The sequence below is a fragment of the Homo sapiens genome, chromosome 3 (assembly GCF_000001405.40).
Source record: "Homo sapiens chromosome 3, GRCh38.p14 Primary Assembly".
Classification (NCBI taxonomy): domain Eukaryota; kingdom Metazoa; phylum Chordata; class Mammalia; order Primates; family Hominidae; genus Homo; species Homo sapiens.
This window is the reverse complement of record NC_000003.12, coordinates 8,995,579-9,012,306: the sequence shown is the minus strand read 5'-3', so window position 1 is coordinate 9,012,306 and position 16,728 is coordinate 8,995,579. Positions and strand designations below refer to the sequence as shown.

At 42.4% G+C, this 16,728-nt stretch overlaps 1 protein-coding gene across 15 annotated transcripts in view, besides 1 other annotated feature; it reads left to right on the top strand.

Annotated features, from left to right (window-relative positions):
- SRGAP3 (SLIT-ROBO Rho GTPase activating protein 3) overlaps nucleotides 1-16,728 on the top strand; it is a 382,437-nt gene that overhangs the window by 350,721 nt on the left and 14,988 nt on the right. For all 15 annotated transcript variants that reach the window (XM_024453843.2, XM_047449335.1, XM_047449333.1 and 12 more), the window contains one exon: nucleotides 1,920-1,999. In XM_024453843.2, the coding sequence (XP_024309611.1) occupies nucleotides 1,920-1,999 (80 nt within the window). The remainder of the gene's footprint in view (nucleotides 1-1,919; nucleotides 2,000-16,728) is intronic.
- Nucleotides 15,039-15,538: an enhancer, noted in NCBI's record as "H3K4me1 hESC enhancer chr3:9038453-9038952 (GRCh37/hg19 assembly coordinates)". NCBI's record gives its function as "activates a minimal SCP1, AML or CMV promoter by ChIP-STARR-seq in primed H9 embryonic stem cells {active_cell/tissue: H9 hESC(primed)}" and the evidence as "EXISTENCE:reporter gene assay evidence [ECO:0000049][PMID:30033119]".

Below are 16,728 nucleotides of genomic sequence, written 5' to 3'. Positions count from 1 at the left end.
TGCCTTCAGCCAGGTGCCTACAGGGGAGTTTGTTTTTTGATTGTCAAAGCATTCCTGGACTTTTGAATTGCCTTAGTACTGTGAGCATATTTGGGCAGCTGCTTCAAAGAAGGAAGGTGTTCCAGCCTTTGTGTTTCCTTCCCACATGCCTCCCTGCATAGAAATACTGGGTCATAGTGGTGTCTGATCACAGCTCTCTAATCTCGTTTGAGGCACTAGGGAGCAAGTCCATCCCTGTTCTGTAACAGAAACATTAAACAGCTGGCAAGCATAATTTCTGGACAAAGAGAATTTTCACACAGTTTTTGCAACCATTACCAGTTCTCTTTTCTTGCTGCAATATATGTAATTAGTGTTCTGGGAAGGGACCCACAGATCTTCGTGTACTTATCAAAGAACAATATACAATAACCACACTTTTCTTAATCCTATTTGTTTCCCACGAGACTGTAAAACTATTAATTACATGGTAATTTTGGAGTCTTCAAAACCAAAAAAGGAGACTTGGCTGAGGGTCTCAGCACAGTAGACAACATTCATTCATTCAACAAATGGTTACCAATCATCTGTTGTGGGCTGGATTCTGTGCTGGGAGTCAGAGATGTAACCAAACAAGGTTGACCCCTGGTGCAGGAGCTCTGATGGAACAGGAAACAAATGGCTCCAGAAGTGGGGCTCCCTGAGCCGATCTAGGGAAATCAGGAAGGGCTTCCTGGGGGAAGTGCAGACTGAGCTGAGACTGCAGAATGAACAGGAGCCAACCCAGTGAGGAGTGGGAAGACCTGGAGCATTCAGTAGAATGAAAAGCAGTTCAGTGTGGTCAGAGCATAGCATGTGTGACAGGGGAATGGTGAAGGATGAGGCTCCACAGGTTGGGTAGAGCCAGGCTGTGAAAAATCTTGGAAGCCATTGAGTTTGGTCCTGATTCAGGTGACAGTGGAGAATTTTTCGTAATAAAATGCATATTCCTTTAAATGGCATTGCAAATGTCAACTCCTTTGAGAAGCCTTCTCTGTCCACTCTTTATAGGTCCCCTCTGCTCTTCTTGTCTCTGCCCATTTATTTCCTGCATAACACTACATAACATAACTTGCAACTGTCTTATTTAATGGCCTATTTACTTCGGTTTTTTTTCTTGTCCCTCTCCCTACAATGTAAGCAACATGAAGCCAGGAACCTTGTCCGCCTTATCTATCATTGCATCCCTCCTACCAGCACACTGCCTGGCATATTAGAACTCACTCAATGGCTCTATAAAAAAAAAACTGGCTGATTATGTGAATTAACCCTTGCCTCAAGAAGCTTATAATCTAGTGAGGGGGTAGTAGCTGGTGAAATTATACCAGCACATTAACAATTAAATCTGATGGACTGGATTACTCAGCCACTATGCCCATCATGGTTGCCAGTCTACTCTCAGTGCCTGCATCAGTCGGGGCTTTTGCATGCAGAAAGACAGGGCAGCCCTTGTTAGCTTCATCTTACCTCCTGGGATATGTCACCTCAGCTATAAGACAAGAGAGTCAGGCCAGATGAAATAACTCATGGTACTTCAAAGGGTTCTTTTTGTTCTGGCCTGTGGTCCTTCTGATTATAAATGCTGGGGTTTTACCACTGCCCTCTGGATCTTACAGAACACGTAAGCATTGACAGACTTCACCAAGAAGACAGCTCAGCAAATTCCAGGGCTAGGAGGGCACTGGGGGAGATATTTGGGAAGCTTCGCAAGGAGGAGGCTGGGAGTAGTTTTCTGATTAGGAAGGTCCCCGGAGTGGTCACATGGAAAAGATAGGATGGTATAGGCCTGCATCTGAGCTGCGGGAGGGCCCAGAGGCCAACTGGACTGGCATGAGAGGCTGAAGGTGCTGTGAGGGTAGATAACCCCCCGCAGTGAGTCCCATTCCCGTGTTTCCTTGCAGTGACAGCCCACACAGCGAGCCAGGGGCCATCGATGAAGTTGACCATGACAATGGCACTGAGCCTCATACCAGCGATGAAGGTGAGTGAGGGGGATCCTGGGGACAAGGGATTCTTCCTGGGGCCTCTCACACTGACTTTTGTCAGCCCAACCACAGGGCTGGCCCACATAGACCTCTTCAGCTTTCCAAGTCAGCCATCTGTCCTTCAGAATAGACGAAGACCCCGAAAAACCTTCATGGCATGCCCCAAGTCCTGGCATGGGCCTGACACAGAGCAGATCCTCATAGGCTCACGCTGTGTTCACGACACCCCACACCTAGCCCACTTCATTCCTTAATGTGTCCTGCCTGGCCCAGGTACAAATCCTAAGAGACATGAGTTCCCTAAGTAGAAAGCAAGCTCTGTTCCTCCATCCTTCCCCTTTGAGGGTCTGCTCTGTGCCAAGCCTGTGCTGGGACTTGGGCACAGGGATGAACAAGACGTCGGTCCTTGAGGAACTCCCAGTCTGTCACCAGATCTTGACAGGTTGGAAGTAGCTTCTCATGGTGCAAAGCGATAATGCCAGATTACAGGTGTGTCTGGTGCATTGGGCACCCTGGAGATGAAATCAAAGGGTGATGATCCTGGGAAATGTGTGGTGAGAGAGAGAGAGAGAAAGGCCAGTCAAGACCTTTCTCCAGATTCCTCCACCCCTTCCAGACAAGGAGAAGAGAGTCGGACTAGTCTCTAGGGAAACTGGACTGTGTAGACAAGCAATCTGAACCATATGCCAACTTATCCGTCAGGCAGAGTAGGCATAGTGCCAAGGGCCCATGGTACTTGTAGAGGTCCACTAAAATGTTTTAATTTCTTTTAAAATCAGAAAAAAAATGAACACAATATCCAGTCTGGATTATATTTGTCTTTATACTAATGCAGTTGTAAAATATAATTTTTAACTTTTTTTTTGAATGGAGGAAGGGACCCATGCAGGCAAAAGGGCCTAGGACCCTTGAAAGTTAGAATACGGCCCAGGATGCACCAAGCACCTGGGATAGTTTTCCTTTTTAAACATCATGGCTTAGCAGTTCTCTTACTTGTCCTTTGTGTTTCTTTTGTGGGACCAGGACACGTTGGCCACCACATTTGTCAGGAGAGCAGGGCAGGCATTCAGGTGACAGTTCTGGGAACTGGTAAAAGAGACAAGACTGACAGATGGGTTTTCACATTCTAGTAGGACTATTTCAGTTGCTAATGACAGAACCCCCAACTCAAATCAACTTAAGCTTAAGAGAGAGTAAGTTCCTATACCTGAAAAGTCCCAGGGTTGGGATGGCTTCAGGCACAGCTGGATCCAGGAGCAAGGGTGATTTTTGTCAGCACTTTGTCTCTGTCTTCTTGTTCTGCTTCCCTCTGTGCTGGTTTCATTCTCGTGTAGGATCTTCCGGTGCAGTGGTCTCTGGCAATTCCAGGCTTTCACCATCATCTTACCCAAACTCTCAGTGGAAAAGGGCTTCCTTTCTATAATGGTTCCAAGAGAGGTCCTGGGGTGGAGTCTCATTGGACTGCCTTGAGTCATGCACCCAGTCATGATCCAGTCCCCATGGCCTGAGAGGGAGCTAATGGGTCAGACCCGGGTCACAGGAACAGAAAAGCAAATCCAGATGTCACGTTCAGCTTGATCAGACTCCTGAGAGGCTAAAGTCATCCTGAACTGAGGAATGTGTCCTGCAGAGGCTTTGTTTGGAGATGTGAAGGCCGCCACCTTCTGCTTATTCCTGGTGATTTGCTTTTCTCTTTCCTCCTTTTTTTCTTCTGCCGACCACCTCCAGTTCTCCCCTCCCTCTATCCCTTTTAACAGCCCTCACCCTGTCCTCTCCATCTGTTGCTCTTTTTATTTCTGGATCTCCTTCTGTCCATCTCTTTATCTCTCCCTGTAGCTTGCTCTCTCTCTCTCTCTCTCTCCTACTCCTGTCATTTCCTCTCCTTTGTCTTGACCGAAGCACCTGCCTTCCTGGGGGCTGAGGTCCCTGTCAGTCCCTTTGCTGGTTTTTCCACAGCTCCTCGGGCTGATGGGCAGAAGGCTTCTCTGGACACCAGGACTGAAGATGAGGAGGGACAGAGAGAATAGGGCTTGCTGGGTCAGCGAAGAAGCAGCCATGGGACTCACCCAGTGGGGCTTCCTCCCCATAAGAACCACCCCCCAGAAAGTGCTGCCTCCCACTTCTCAGGGTAAAGGTTCACAGTGGCCCCCAGAATGCATGAGTCAGAGCTTTGGGTCCCCCTCCGAGATGATCCTTCTTCTTTTTGTTCTTTGTAAGGCTGCTGGTTTCTGGGAATGACAAAGGCAGGAAAAATCATTCTGGGAAGGAAGAAGCCACAGTCTGGGAGAGCCAGTTTCATGTTCCCTGAAGGCTCTCAAAGTATCCTGTGTGTATTAGTGGGGGGTATTGAATCAGGGGCACTCTTTGGTGGAAAATCAATTGCATTTTCTAAATGTTACATTCTTGCCATCCCTGGCCAAACAGTGGCAGAATAGTGAGCTGCAGAGACAGTCAAGGGGTCACTGTGCTCAGAAAAAAGAGACCTGGAGTTGAAGCACAGAGGGAGTCCTTATGGTCATGTAATCTGAGGCAAGCCACATCACCTCTGGCCTCTATTTCCTTATCTATAAAATGGGAATGACAGCACCAAGCAAATTATGGCATGGGTTAAAATGAGGTGACATATGTGAAGGAGCCTAGCACAGTGCCTGGGACAGGGAGGTGGATAAGAAACATCAATGGACTCTGTATCAAACAGACATCCTTCCTAATCCTGATAGAAAAACTGAGTCCTGGAGAATTTTCTTGACCTAACTGGCATTGGCAGTTACTGGTCATTGGCAACCAGAACCTCCTGATTTGTTTACCTGTTTCCTCTTAGACATTTCATTTAGGGGATCATCAATATCTGTCTTCTTTGCTCTTGACAGCACCCGGTATGAATGGAATCCAGCAGGCCTCAAAGGTCAAATCAGGCAGAGAACCATGAGTCCAGGTCTTTGCCATGCATGAATCAGCCAATGAATGCCAAATTGCAGGAACAATTTAGTTGTTTGTGTATCTGTTGCCTTTCTTGTCTCAAAGATTCTGTACCAACTGGGCGTGGTGGCTCACACCTGTAACCCCAACACTTTGGGAAGTTGAGGTGGGCAGATCACTTGAGCCCAGGAATTCGAGACCAGCCTGGGCAACATGGTGAAACTCCGTCTCTACAAAAAAAACCAAAATACAAAAATTAGCCAGGCATGGTGGCATATGCCTGTGGTCCCAGCAACTCAGGAGGCTGAAGTGGGAGAATTACTTAAGCCCAGGGAGGTTGAGGCTGCAGTGAGCCATGATTGTGCCACTGTACTCCAGCCTGAGTGACAGAACAAGGTCCTGTCTCAAAAAAAAAAAAAAAAAAAAAAAAGATTCTATACCCAACTGATGCCTAGTCTCCTGTCTTGAGTCTGATAAGTCTGGAAATTCCATAGTGCTTGCTCTTTGGTCTCCAAGAGTTATATAAAGAAACCATGGTTAGGCCAAGGATCCTTGACTAAATGAAAAAATGAAGGCAGCCTGTCACTAACAACTTTATTAATTGGAAGCTAAATGAGAAACAAGATTATTAGATTATAAAACCACTAAAATCAGTGACAGAGGCATGTTCATATGGGTGATATGTCCATTTTCAATTATAATTGTGCCACCATTCTCTTACTGATATTTTCCTGAAATTTTTGAGGTTACCTTTGACTCCTCCCCCTGTTGGTCTGTTTACAATTTCATATAAATGGTATTGTACAGAATACAGTTGTTTGGCTCTGTCCTCTTTCACTCTGCATAATATTCTGAGATTCATCCATGTCGTTGTGTATTAAGGTGAGGTTTTTGATGGTATTAAAATGACATTAGTTGATTTATGCACAAACACCCCAGTTGTGGAGTCATAGCCACTCCTTTTCTTTTCTTTTTTTTTTTTTTTTGAGACAGAGTCTCGCTCTGTTGCCAGGCTGTAGTAAAGTGGTGTGATCTCGGCTCACTGCAGCCTCCGACTCCCTGGTTCAAGCGATTCTCCTGCCTCAGCCTCCGGAGTAGCTGGGATTAGAGGCATGTACCACCATGCCCGGCTAATTTTTGTATTTTTTAGTAGAGACGGGGTTTCACCATGTTGGCCAGGCAGGTCTCAATCTCCTGACCTCGTGATCTGCTTGCCTCAGCCTCCCAAAGTGCTGGGATTACAGGTGTGAGACACCACGCCCAGCCCACTCCTTTTCATAAGAAATTAAGAACAATAGAAAAAAAGAACAGTGGCCAATTTCTTATACTTGGTGTATGCTCCTAATCCCTAGTAATAAACATGGTAAACTGGCTTGCGGCATTTGGCTCAGGCCTTATACCTACGAAGGACCCTGCCTTCTTCTTAAAACCACTTTATTGAGTTATAGATCACACACCACACAATTTACCCTTTTAAAGTGTTCAGCTGAGTGATTTTTTTGTGTATTCACAGATATGTGCAACCATCACCATGGTCAATTTGAGAACATTTTCATCATCTTGAAAAGAAGCCCTGTACCCTTTAGCTATCACTCCTTACGCCCTCCCATCCCTACCCCCCACATTTCTCCCAGCCCTAGTCAATGCAACTGTAAGTCTACCCACTGTCTCTATGGATTTGTCTATTCTGGACATTTTATATAAATGGAATTATATAACATGTGGCCTTTCTCTTAGCACAGTTTTCTAGGTTCAGCCATGCTGTAGCATGAATTAGTACTTAATTTTTGATGGCTGAATAATATTCCATCACATGAAAATGCCAGACTTTGTTTATCCATTTGTCAATTGATGGACATTTGGGTTGTTTCTACTTTTCAGCTATGATATAATACTGCTGCAAACATGTGTGTGCAAGTTTTTGTATAGACAGAATTTTTCATTTCTCTTGAGTATATACCCAGGAGTGGAATTGCTGGGTCATATGCTAACTCTATGTCAGTCATTTAAGGAACTGCCAGACTGTTTTCCAAAATGACCGCACCATTTTGCAATATCATCATCAGTGTATGAGGATTCCAATTTATCCATATCCTTGCTAGCACTTGTTACTATCTGACTTTTTGATTCTTGCCATCCTAGTGGATGTGAAGTTGCATCTTATTGAGGTTTGGATTTGAATTTCTCTGATGACTGATAATGTTCATCATCTTTTCATGTGCTTTTTGGTCACTTGTATATTTTTCTTCAGATCCTTTGCCCATTTTTAAATTTGGTTATTTGTGTTTTTATTATTGAGTTGTAACAGCTCTTTATGTATTCTAGATCATAACAGCTCTTTATATATTCTAGATCTAAGTCCCTTATCAGATATACAATTTCCAAATATTTTCTCCCATTCTGTGGCTTGCCTTTTTATTGGTGATACCCTTTGAAGCACAAAAGTATTTCATTTTGACTGAGTTCCATTCATCTATTTTTTCTTTTGTTGCGCATGCTTTTGGTGTTATATCTAAGAGGCCTTTGCCGAATCCAAGTTCATGAGGATGTATTCCTGTATTTTCTTTTAAGAGTTTTAGAGTTTTAGGTCTTACATTTAGATCTTTGATCTATTTTGAGTTAATTTTGGCATAAGGTAATGGTCAAACTTTATTCCTTTGTATGTGGCTCTCCAGTTGTCCCAGCACGATTAGTTGAACAAAATTATTCTTTTCCACATTGAATGGTCTTAGCACCCTTGTTAAAAAAAGTCCTTTGACTACAGGTGTATGGGTTTATTTTTGAACTTGCAATGCTATTCCACTGACCAATATGTCTATCTCTGTGTTGGTACTATACTGTCTTCATTACTGTTGCTTTGTAGTAAGCTTTGAAATTGGGATGTTTAAGTCCTCCAACTTTGTCCTTCGTTTTCAAGATTGTTTTGGCTATTCTGGGTTTCTTGTGATTACATATGAATTTTAGAATCAGCTTGTCAATTTCTACAAAGAAGTTAGGCAGGATTCTGATAGGGATTGCATTAAATCTATAGGTCAGTTGGAAATATCACCCTCTTAGTAGTGTTAAGTCTTCTGATCCATAAACACAGGATGTTTTGCCAATTATTTAGATCTTTAATTTTTTTCAACAATGATTTGTAGTTGCCAGAGTGGCAACTACAGAGTGCCTTTTATCCTTTTGTCTTGAAAGGATATTAGATTTTGTCAGTGCTTTATTCCTCTGTATTTTATTCTTTTTATGCTAATGTAAGTGAAATTGTTTCCTTAATTTCACTTTTGAATTGTTCATTATGAGTGTATGGAAATATAATTGATTTTACTATACTGCTCTTGTATCCTGCAACCTTGCTGAACTTATTCATGCAGTCAAATAGTTTTTAGTGATTTCCTTATTTTTTTAATATATAAGATTATATTGTCTATGAATAGATATATTTTTACTTCTTTTCCAGTTTGGATACCTTTTATTTCTTTTTCTTGCCCAATTGGCCCAGCTAGAATCTCCAGTACAACACTGAAGTGATGAGAGTGAACATCCTTGTCTAAGTCCTGATCTTATGGGGAAAGCATCCAGTATTTCACTGTTACGTATGATGTTAGCTGTGGGTTTTTCATAGATGCCATTTGTCAGGTTGAGGAAGTTCCCTTCTATTCCTAGTTTGTTGAGTGTTTTATCTTGAAAGGATATTAGATTTTGTCAGTGCTTTTTCTTCATCTATTAAGATGATTGTGTGATTTTTGTTTTTTATTTTACTGATAAGATGCATTACATTAATTATTTTTAGATGTTAAACCAATTTGGCAGTCCTGGGATAAATTCCACTTGTGCATGGAGGATAGTTCTTTTTATGCTACTGCATTTGGCTCGCTAGTGATTTTTTTGTTTGTTTGTTTGTTTGTTTGTTTTGAGATGGAATCTCACTCTGTCACCCAGGCTGTAGTGCAGTGGCACAATCTTGGCTCACTGCAACCTCTGCCTCCTGGGTTCAAGTGATTCTCCTGCCTCAGCCTCCAGAGTAACTGATATTACAGGTGCCCGATACCATACCAGGCTAATTTTTTGTATTTTCAGTAGAGACAGGATTTTGCCATATTGCAGGCTGATCTCAAACTCCTGACCTCAAGTTATCCGCCCAGCTCTGCCTCCCAAAGTGCTGAGATTACAGGCATGAGCCACCGTGCCTGGCCGGGTTTGCTGGCATTTTGTAGAGGATATTTGTATCCATATTCATAAGAAATACTGGTCTGTAGTTTTCTTGTGATACCTTTGTCTGGTTTTGGTATCAGGGTAATACTTGCCTGGTGAAATTAGTTGAGCAGTGTTCCCTTCTCTTCTAGTTTTTGGAAGACTTTATAAGGAATTATTACTAATTCTTTTTTAAATGTTTGGTAGAATTCAACAATGTAGCCATCTGGGCCTGGGCATTTATTTGTGGGTAGTTTTTTGATGATTGATTCAATCTCTTGTTATAAGTGTATTCATTTTTTTTTCTTCTTAAGTCAGTTTCAATAGTTTGTTTCTTTCTAGGAATTTATTAATTTCATCTAAGATATCCAACTTGTTGGCATATAATTGTTCATAGTACTTCTTTATGATCCTTTTTCTCCTGTAAAATAATGGTAGTAACGTCCCCTCTTTCATATCTGATTCTAATCATTTGAATCCTCTCTCATGTTTTCTTGGTTTATTTAGCTAATGGCTTGTCAATTTCATTGATCTTTTCAAAGAACCAGCTTTTGGTTTCATGATTTTCTCTATTGTTTTTCTGTTCTCTATTTTATTAATTTCTGCTCTAATCTTTATTATTTCCTTCCTTCTGCTAGCTCTAGGTTTAGTTTGCACTTTTTTTTCCAGTGTCTTAAGGTGGAAGTTTAGGTTATTGATTTGAGGTTTGGGTTTTTTTCCCTAATATAGGCATTTACAGTCATACATTTCCTTCTAAGCACTGCTTTAGCTGCATCCCATAAGTTTTGATATGTTGTATCTTCATTTTCATTCATCTCAAAGATTTCTCTTTTGATTTTTTTCTTCAACCACTAGTTATTTAGCAGTATGCTGTATAATTTTTGCCTATTTGTCAGTTTCCCAGTTTTTTTCCTGCTATTGATTCCTACTTTAGAAGAAACTTCTTCTATAGAAGAAATCAATAATTTTATCCTACTGTGGTAGAAGAACACATTTTGTATTATTTGTATGATTTTGAATTATTGAGGTTTGTTTTATGGACTAGCATAGGGCATACCCAAGAGAACGTTCCATGTGCAGTTAGAAAGAATGTATAGTCTCTTGCTGAGTGGTGTGTTCTATACATGCCTGTTAGGTCTAGTTGGTTTATAGTGTTGTTTAAGTCTTCTATTTCCTCTTTGATCTTCTGTCTAGTTGTTCTTTCCGTTATTGAGAATGGGGTATTGAAGTCTCTAACAATTATTTTTGAATTTTCTATTTCTTTCTTTGTTTTTGTCCATTTTTGCTTCATGTATTTTGCTGCTCTTTTATTAGGTACATTTTGTTTATAATTGTTTTTATCTTGATAGATCAAAATTTTTATCATTATGAAATGCTGCCATTTATCTCTAGCAGTATTTTTAGTTTTAAAGTCTATTTTATCGATATTAGTATAGTCATTCTAGCTTTCCTGTGGTTCCAGTTTGTATAATACATTTTTCCATCCTTTCACTTTCACTCTAATTGTATCTTTGAATCTAAAGTGTGTCTTTTAAATTATTTTATTTTATCCAGTCTGTTAATCTCTGCATTTTAATTGGATTGTTTAATCCATTCACATTTGATATTACCACTTATATAGTTGGATTTTTGTCTGCCATTTTACTTCTTGTTTTCTGTGTGTCTCATATCTTTTTTGTTCCTCTATTCCTTCTTTACCGATTTCTTTTGCATATTTTCTAACATAGCATTTAGTGGATATTTTCTAATATAGCATTTAAACTTCTTTAATGATGTTTTCACTATATTTTTGAGTTATTTTTAGAAGTTTTATTTAATTTTTGATGGACAGATAATTGGACATATTTATTGGATACAATGTGATATTGCAATACATGCATACGTTGTGTAATGATTAGATCCGGGTAAGCAGTATATTCATCATGTTGTAAATATATTGTTTCTTTGTGGTGTGAACATTCAACATCTCCTCTATTCCAGCTATTTTGGAACATACAATACATTATTGTTAACTATAGTCAACCTACTGTAAAATAGAACACCAGAACTTATTTATCCTAACTAACTCTAACATTGTACCTGTTGAGCAATTGCTCCCCATATCCCCTCCCCTTCCTTCCTAGCCTCTGACAAGCAGTATTCTGCTCTTACTATTTTTGAGTTATTTTTTAGCAGTTTCTCTAAGGTTTACCATATACATCTTATTTGAATGAGCTTCTATTTATACTAGCTTAATTTCAGTGACATATGGAAATACTGCTCTGTGGGATGACAGTGGTTTTGGTAGGGTTCTCCTTCCCTGAGATGCCAGTGGGTTTGGTAGAAGTCTCTTTCCCGGATCCTTTCCGGCTGTTAATCTCTACTAATTGCTGGATGATTGCTATTCTTTCAGCAGTGCCCTTGGTCCTAAATTGCTCTACAGATTAATGCAGTCAAATTCTGTCCCCATTATAGGGATAGTTTCTGAAGTCAATGTTTGATATTTGTTCTGATCCCAGGAGTTCTCCTGGCTGTCTTATTCCCTGGTTCTCCTCTGCTAACTATCTGGGTTATAGTCTAGCTTCTATATTCGTTAAATTCATGAACCATCACTGGATTGCCCTTCAACACGACCTCCACTGTTCTTGAGAGTCCCCTTCGACTTGAACTTCTCCAAGCTCTGTTGCAACTGAAGTCAATTCCTTTGGGATAAGATTAGGATCTGTCTGTTTTACGGGATGGTTCTCCCCCATGGGAAAATCTCTGAGCCAGGACTCTGAGACTGGGGATGGAGACAATGGCATCTTCTGAGTGATGTCCCCACTGAGTGCTTTGTGGAGGGGCAGCCAGAGATCCTCTTAACTTCCCTCTCCTGCCATGCAACCACCACCTCACAAGCTGGGGCAAGGTTGATAGAACCCCCACATTTTCAGTGGTGCCATGCCCAAAGTACAGCCACCATTCCATGAGTAGGGGTTGTGTGAAAGAATGAAGCCCTGGTCTCTCCACTCCACTCACCTGGGACTTAGCCTCAGCAACAGGTAGTGGGAGCAGGATGAGAATCACTGAGCTCCTGCTCCTTCCAGGAAGAAAGCCCTGTGACTAGAAGATGGTAAAGGGAGAGGAAGCCCTGTGTGCTTGACTGCAGTCATCTGGGTTGGAGCCTCCATCTCCCCAAGCTTGGAGCAGGAGTAGAGGGAGGGAGCAGTCTTGGTTCAAGTAACAGAGATTTTCACCTTTCTCACTAAATTTTTATAGATTTTCTTGAATAGATGTTTCTTCATTTGCTTTTTGCCCTTAGGACCATTTCCAGGGGCTTGAAATATTTCTTTTTCTTTTTCTTTTTATATTTTTTCTCGAGTTTCCCTGGGGAGCTCTTCATGCTGTCATCCCAGAAGTCGGTCTCACTCCTTTCCTTTTAAATTAAATCTAAATCTCAATATCAGCTGGTGCCACCACCGAATGCAAAGAAAGAACCCAAGGTCATGAGTGAGAAGGGGAGAAAAGAGGGACCCTGTAAACAGGCCCTGGCTTCTGTCATTACTCTCATCACAGGGAAGATGACGGAGAAGAGAAGGTACACCCACATTCTCAGCCTTTGATACAGTGACTTGGCCTCTAGTAAACTGGTTGCATGAGATTAGTGTTCTCACTTCTGGGGATGAAGTAGGGGGTGGGGTAGGCAGAGGGACATAAGTGGTATTGAGAGGAATGGAGCCATCCCCTCTTTCATGCAGGCAGGACTCATGACCTATAACAGAGTTCTCTGGAATGGCATGGCTAGAGGGAGGGATTTGATGGGTAGAGAAGCATAAATGTCCAACCTTCAGATTCTGAAATAAAAGCAAAGCTTCAACATGTCTTTTCATCTCCGGAAAAGCCCATGTCTAGCCCATGCTAGTTCAGAGGCCGCACCAGTGTAGCCGTCTCTGAACCACTGCTGCCTCCAGCCTCTCCCCTCCAATCCCTCCACTGCTCTGCTTTGCCACTGGAGTGATTTTCCTAAAATGTGACTCCAGCCAGGCCCCTACTGAGACAGTCTCAACCTCTCCTGTAGCTCAGGGGCTGGGCTGTTCATCTCTTCCCTCACTGTAGAGCCCACAGGGTTTTTACCTGGTACAATTAGCCTCTCAATACACAGGAGTTGAATTGCATCAAACACAGAGCATTGTATATCTATATAGTCAATTTACACTGTACAGATGCAAAGACCTTGTGGCAGGAATAAGCTTAGCACAATTCAAAAACATCTAGAAGCCTCTATTAATGATGTCTGGGACCTGAGCTCAGATGTTAGCTCATCACTGTATCTACTGGTGTGACCCAACCCTAGGCCCATCATTCAACCCAGCTTCAGTTCCCTCATCTATGAAATGAGGGTAGTGCCTCAAATGTTGTTATGGGATTAAATGTGATAATGTAAGTAGAACACCTGGTACCAGTAAAAGCTTAATTTGTTCATGCAAGCAATAAATATGTATTGAGTGCCTGTTTGTCCTAGGGTCTGTTCTAGGAGTCAGAATACAGTAGGAAAGAAAAGAAAATCTCTGTCCTAATGGTACCCACACTTTGGTAGGAAAGATTGATAGTAAAGTTTCAAAATTATATGTGTGTATATATACACATATGTGTATGTATATGTGTGTGTATATATACATATATATAGTATATATATACACACACACCCATACCACAAACACATAAATACACACATCATACACACACACATAAATTTCAGGTTGTGATAAGTGCCATGAAGAGAAATAAAGCAAGAGAAGGTGTTAGAAAGTGATTTGGCAGTTGGGGCTCTTGCAGTTGGGAGCGGCTGGGAAAGGCCTTGGTAAGGCAATGACATTTGAGTACAGACCTGAATGAAATTAGCAAACGGCACATAGCATTAATACATATTTGTTGAGTGTGGATGAATGCAAAGATCTGGGAGAAAGGCATCCCAGGGAGAAGCAATAGGAAGTACAAAGGCCCTGTAAAGGGAAGACACTTGTCTGTTTTAAAAGCATCAAGAAGGCTCTGTAGCTGGGGGTGGTGGCTCACGCCTGTAATCCCAGCACTTTGGGAGGCCAAGGCAGGAGGATCACTCGAGTCCAGAAGTTCGAGACCAGCCTGGTCCCCCAGGCTGTAGTGAGACCCCCGTTGCTACAAAAACTTAAAAAATTAGCTGGGCATGGCGGCATGTGCCTGTGGTCCCAGCTACTCAGGAGGCTGAGGTGGAAGAATTGCTTGATCCTCAGGAGGTTCAAGTTGCAGTGAGTCATGATTGCACCACTGCACTCCAGCCTGGGTGACAGAGTGAGACCCTGTCTCAAGAAAAAGAAAAAAAAAAACCTCTATGAATATTTATGCTGAAGTGTTTAGAGATAAAGTATACTGATGTTTATAACTTAATTTAAAAATCATTAAAAAATAAGACGGATAGAAGGGTGGATAGATATATGATAAATCTAGCATCGTAAAATGTGCATAGCGGAATTTAGTTGTGTTCCATGCATGTTCACTGTGAAATTCTTTCAATTTTACTTTGTGTTTAAAAAATGTCATACTAGGATGTTGGAGGAAAAACATCAAGAAGCTTAGTGAGGCAAGAGCAGATTGAGCTAGTGAAGGAGAGAGAGAGACAGAGAAGATGAGGTCTCAGAGGTCTCTGCGATTGGGATCCTGGAGGGCCTTATGAGCAGTGGGAAGACACTGGGATTTTGTTCCAGCCTCCATGGGAAGCCTTCTGAGGATTTTGAACAGGGGAGTTTCATGATGTGATTGTATGATTGTAAAGGACCCTCTAGGCTGCTGTGGGGAGAAGCGGCTCTACCTAAGCAAGTATGGAAGTGAAGAGGGTGGCATGGGAGGTGGTGAGCCATGGTCAGATCCAGGGGACACTCTGAAGGAGTCGCTAATGGATGAGGTGTGCAGAGCCATGCCAGGGCATTGGCCTGGGTGAGCAGGTAGACAGCAGTTCTGTTTCCTGAGATGGGGAAGATGAGGGAATGAAGTAAGCTTGGGTAACAGAGTGTGGGAGAGTGATGAGGGGGAGAAACATATTCTGTTTCAGGCACGAGAAGCCCAAATAACAGACTTAGTAATCAATGGGAGCTGTTATTACTGTTTCCACCACACACACTTATGTAACGACGTCTGCAAACACACGTGCTTTCTCTGAGCTGGAGGTTCGCCCTGTTCCTCCTGTTTTCTTTCCCTCACATTGTCTGCTCCCCCTGCTGCCCCACTCTTTCAACTTCAGGCTGCTGTCCAGTGACTGCTGGAGGCTCTGGTGATGGTAAAGGCAGAAACCGGAGGCAGCCCCTCTGTGCCCCTCTGAGTATCAGAAAACCTCTGCTTAGGTCAGCGCCTTTCTTAGTTTGGGGAATCTGGGTCAGAGGAAGTCCCTGGGCGAACCCAGGAGCACGCAGCTGTCTGGGCTCAGCTCCTGCCCTTGCAAACCCTCCGGCCTTTCTGACTCTTGTAACGAGGCAGGCAGATGGGCTAGCAGGCAGTTCCAGCACACGGCCGGATGTGAGATTCAAAGATGCTGCAGAGAGAGGGACCAAGATCTCTGTTTGTTTTACTGAGAATGTGACTCTGAGTCAAGATCTGAGTTAGTCTGACCCATTTAGTGGTGCTGTCATTTCCCCACCTCCTTCCCTCCTTCCTTCTCTCCCAACACCCAGGTTAGAATAGCATTTAAAGACATTTGTCGGGTAGCTAGCTGGGGAAGCTGACTTGACTGTTTGAGGCCTGCTCCCTGCAGAAGGCTGCCTCAGTCACTAAGAGCTAAATACATCCCAAAGCCACTGCATCTCATGGGGACACAAGCATGGTCTTCTTGAGCCAGTTGCTTCCAGAGGGGAGCCCTGGTGCATGTGTGTGGTGGGGAGTGATGGGGAGTGAACAAGGGAGTTTCCTCCTCCTGCTCTTTGATTTTTCCATGCCATCCGTGGCCCTTAGAAGTGCACCAGCCTCTGGTAACAACATGTGTGTAACTCTTATAGGGTACTATGTGCCAGACACTGTTGCAAGCACTTCATGTATATTCACTCACTTAATCCTTCTAATAACCCTGTAAGATAGGTTCTATTTATTACCATTTCCATTTAACAGATGAGGAAACTGAGGCACAGAAAGAAAAACTAAGTATCCCAAGGTCACACAACTAAAAAATGGTAAAGCCAAATGTTCTGAGCTTAACTGTGTGATGGACAGGTGGATGAATAGATCGATGAAGACGAGATTGTCCACAGTGAATGGAGCAGATAGAGAGCCCCAAGAAAGCTCAGCATGGAGAAGCTATCTACAGGCTAGAGAGAGGGCAGGGGTTGCTTTTGTTACTCTTCTGTTCTATTAAAATAAAAAAAAGTAAGAATTATAATGTTAAACCTCTTTGTGCTTACTTTAAAATATTAAAACATTAATACCTATACAAAATCAGTTTTCTACCACATATGGACACTTCTTAGGGTAGAAACTATAAAACAGGTGGAATAAACTGTAGGCACAATCCCCTGCTCCCCAAAACGTCTCTTCCCCAAATATCACTAGTTGTATGGTCCTTAAACCATGCAGTTTAAAACACTTAAACTCTCTGCAGTTCAACGTCTCTTCTCTGGACGCATCCCATAGGCCAAATCCATTA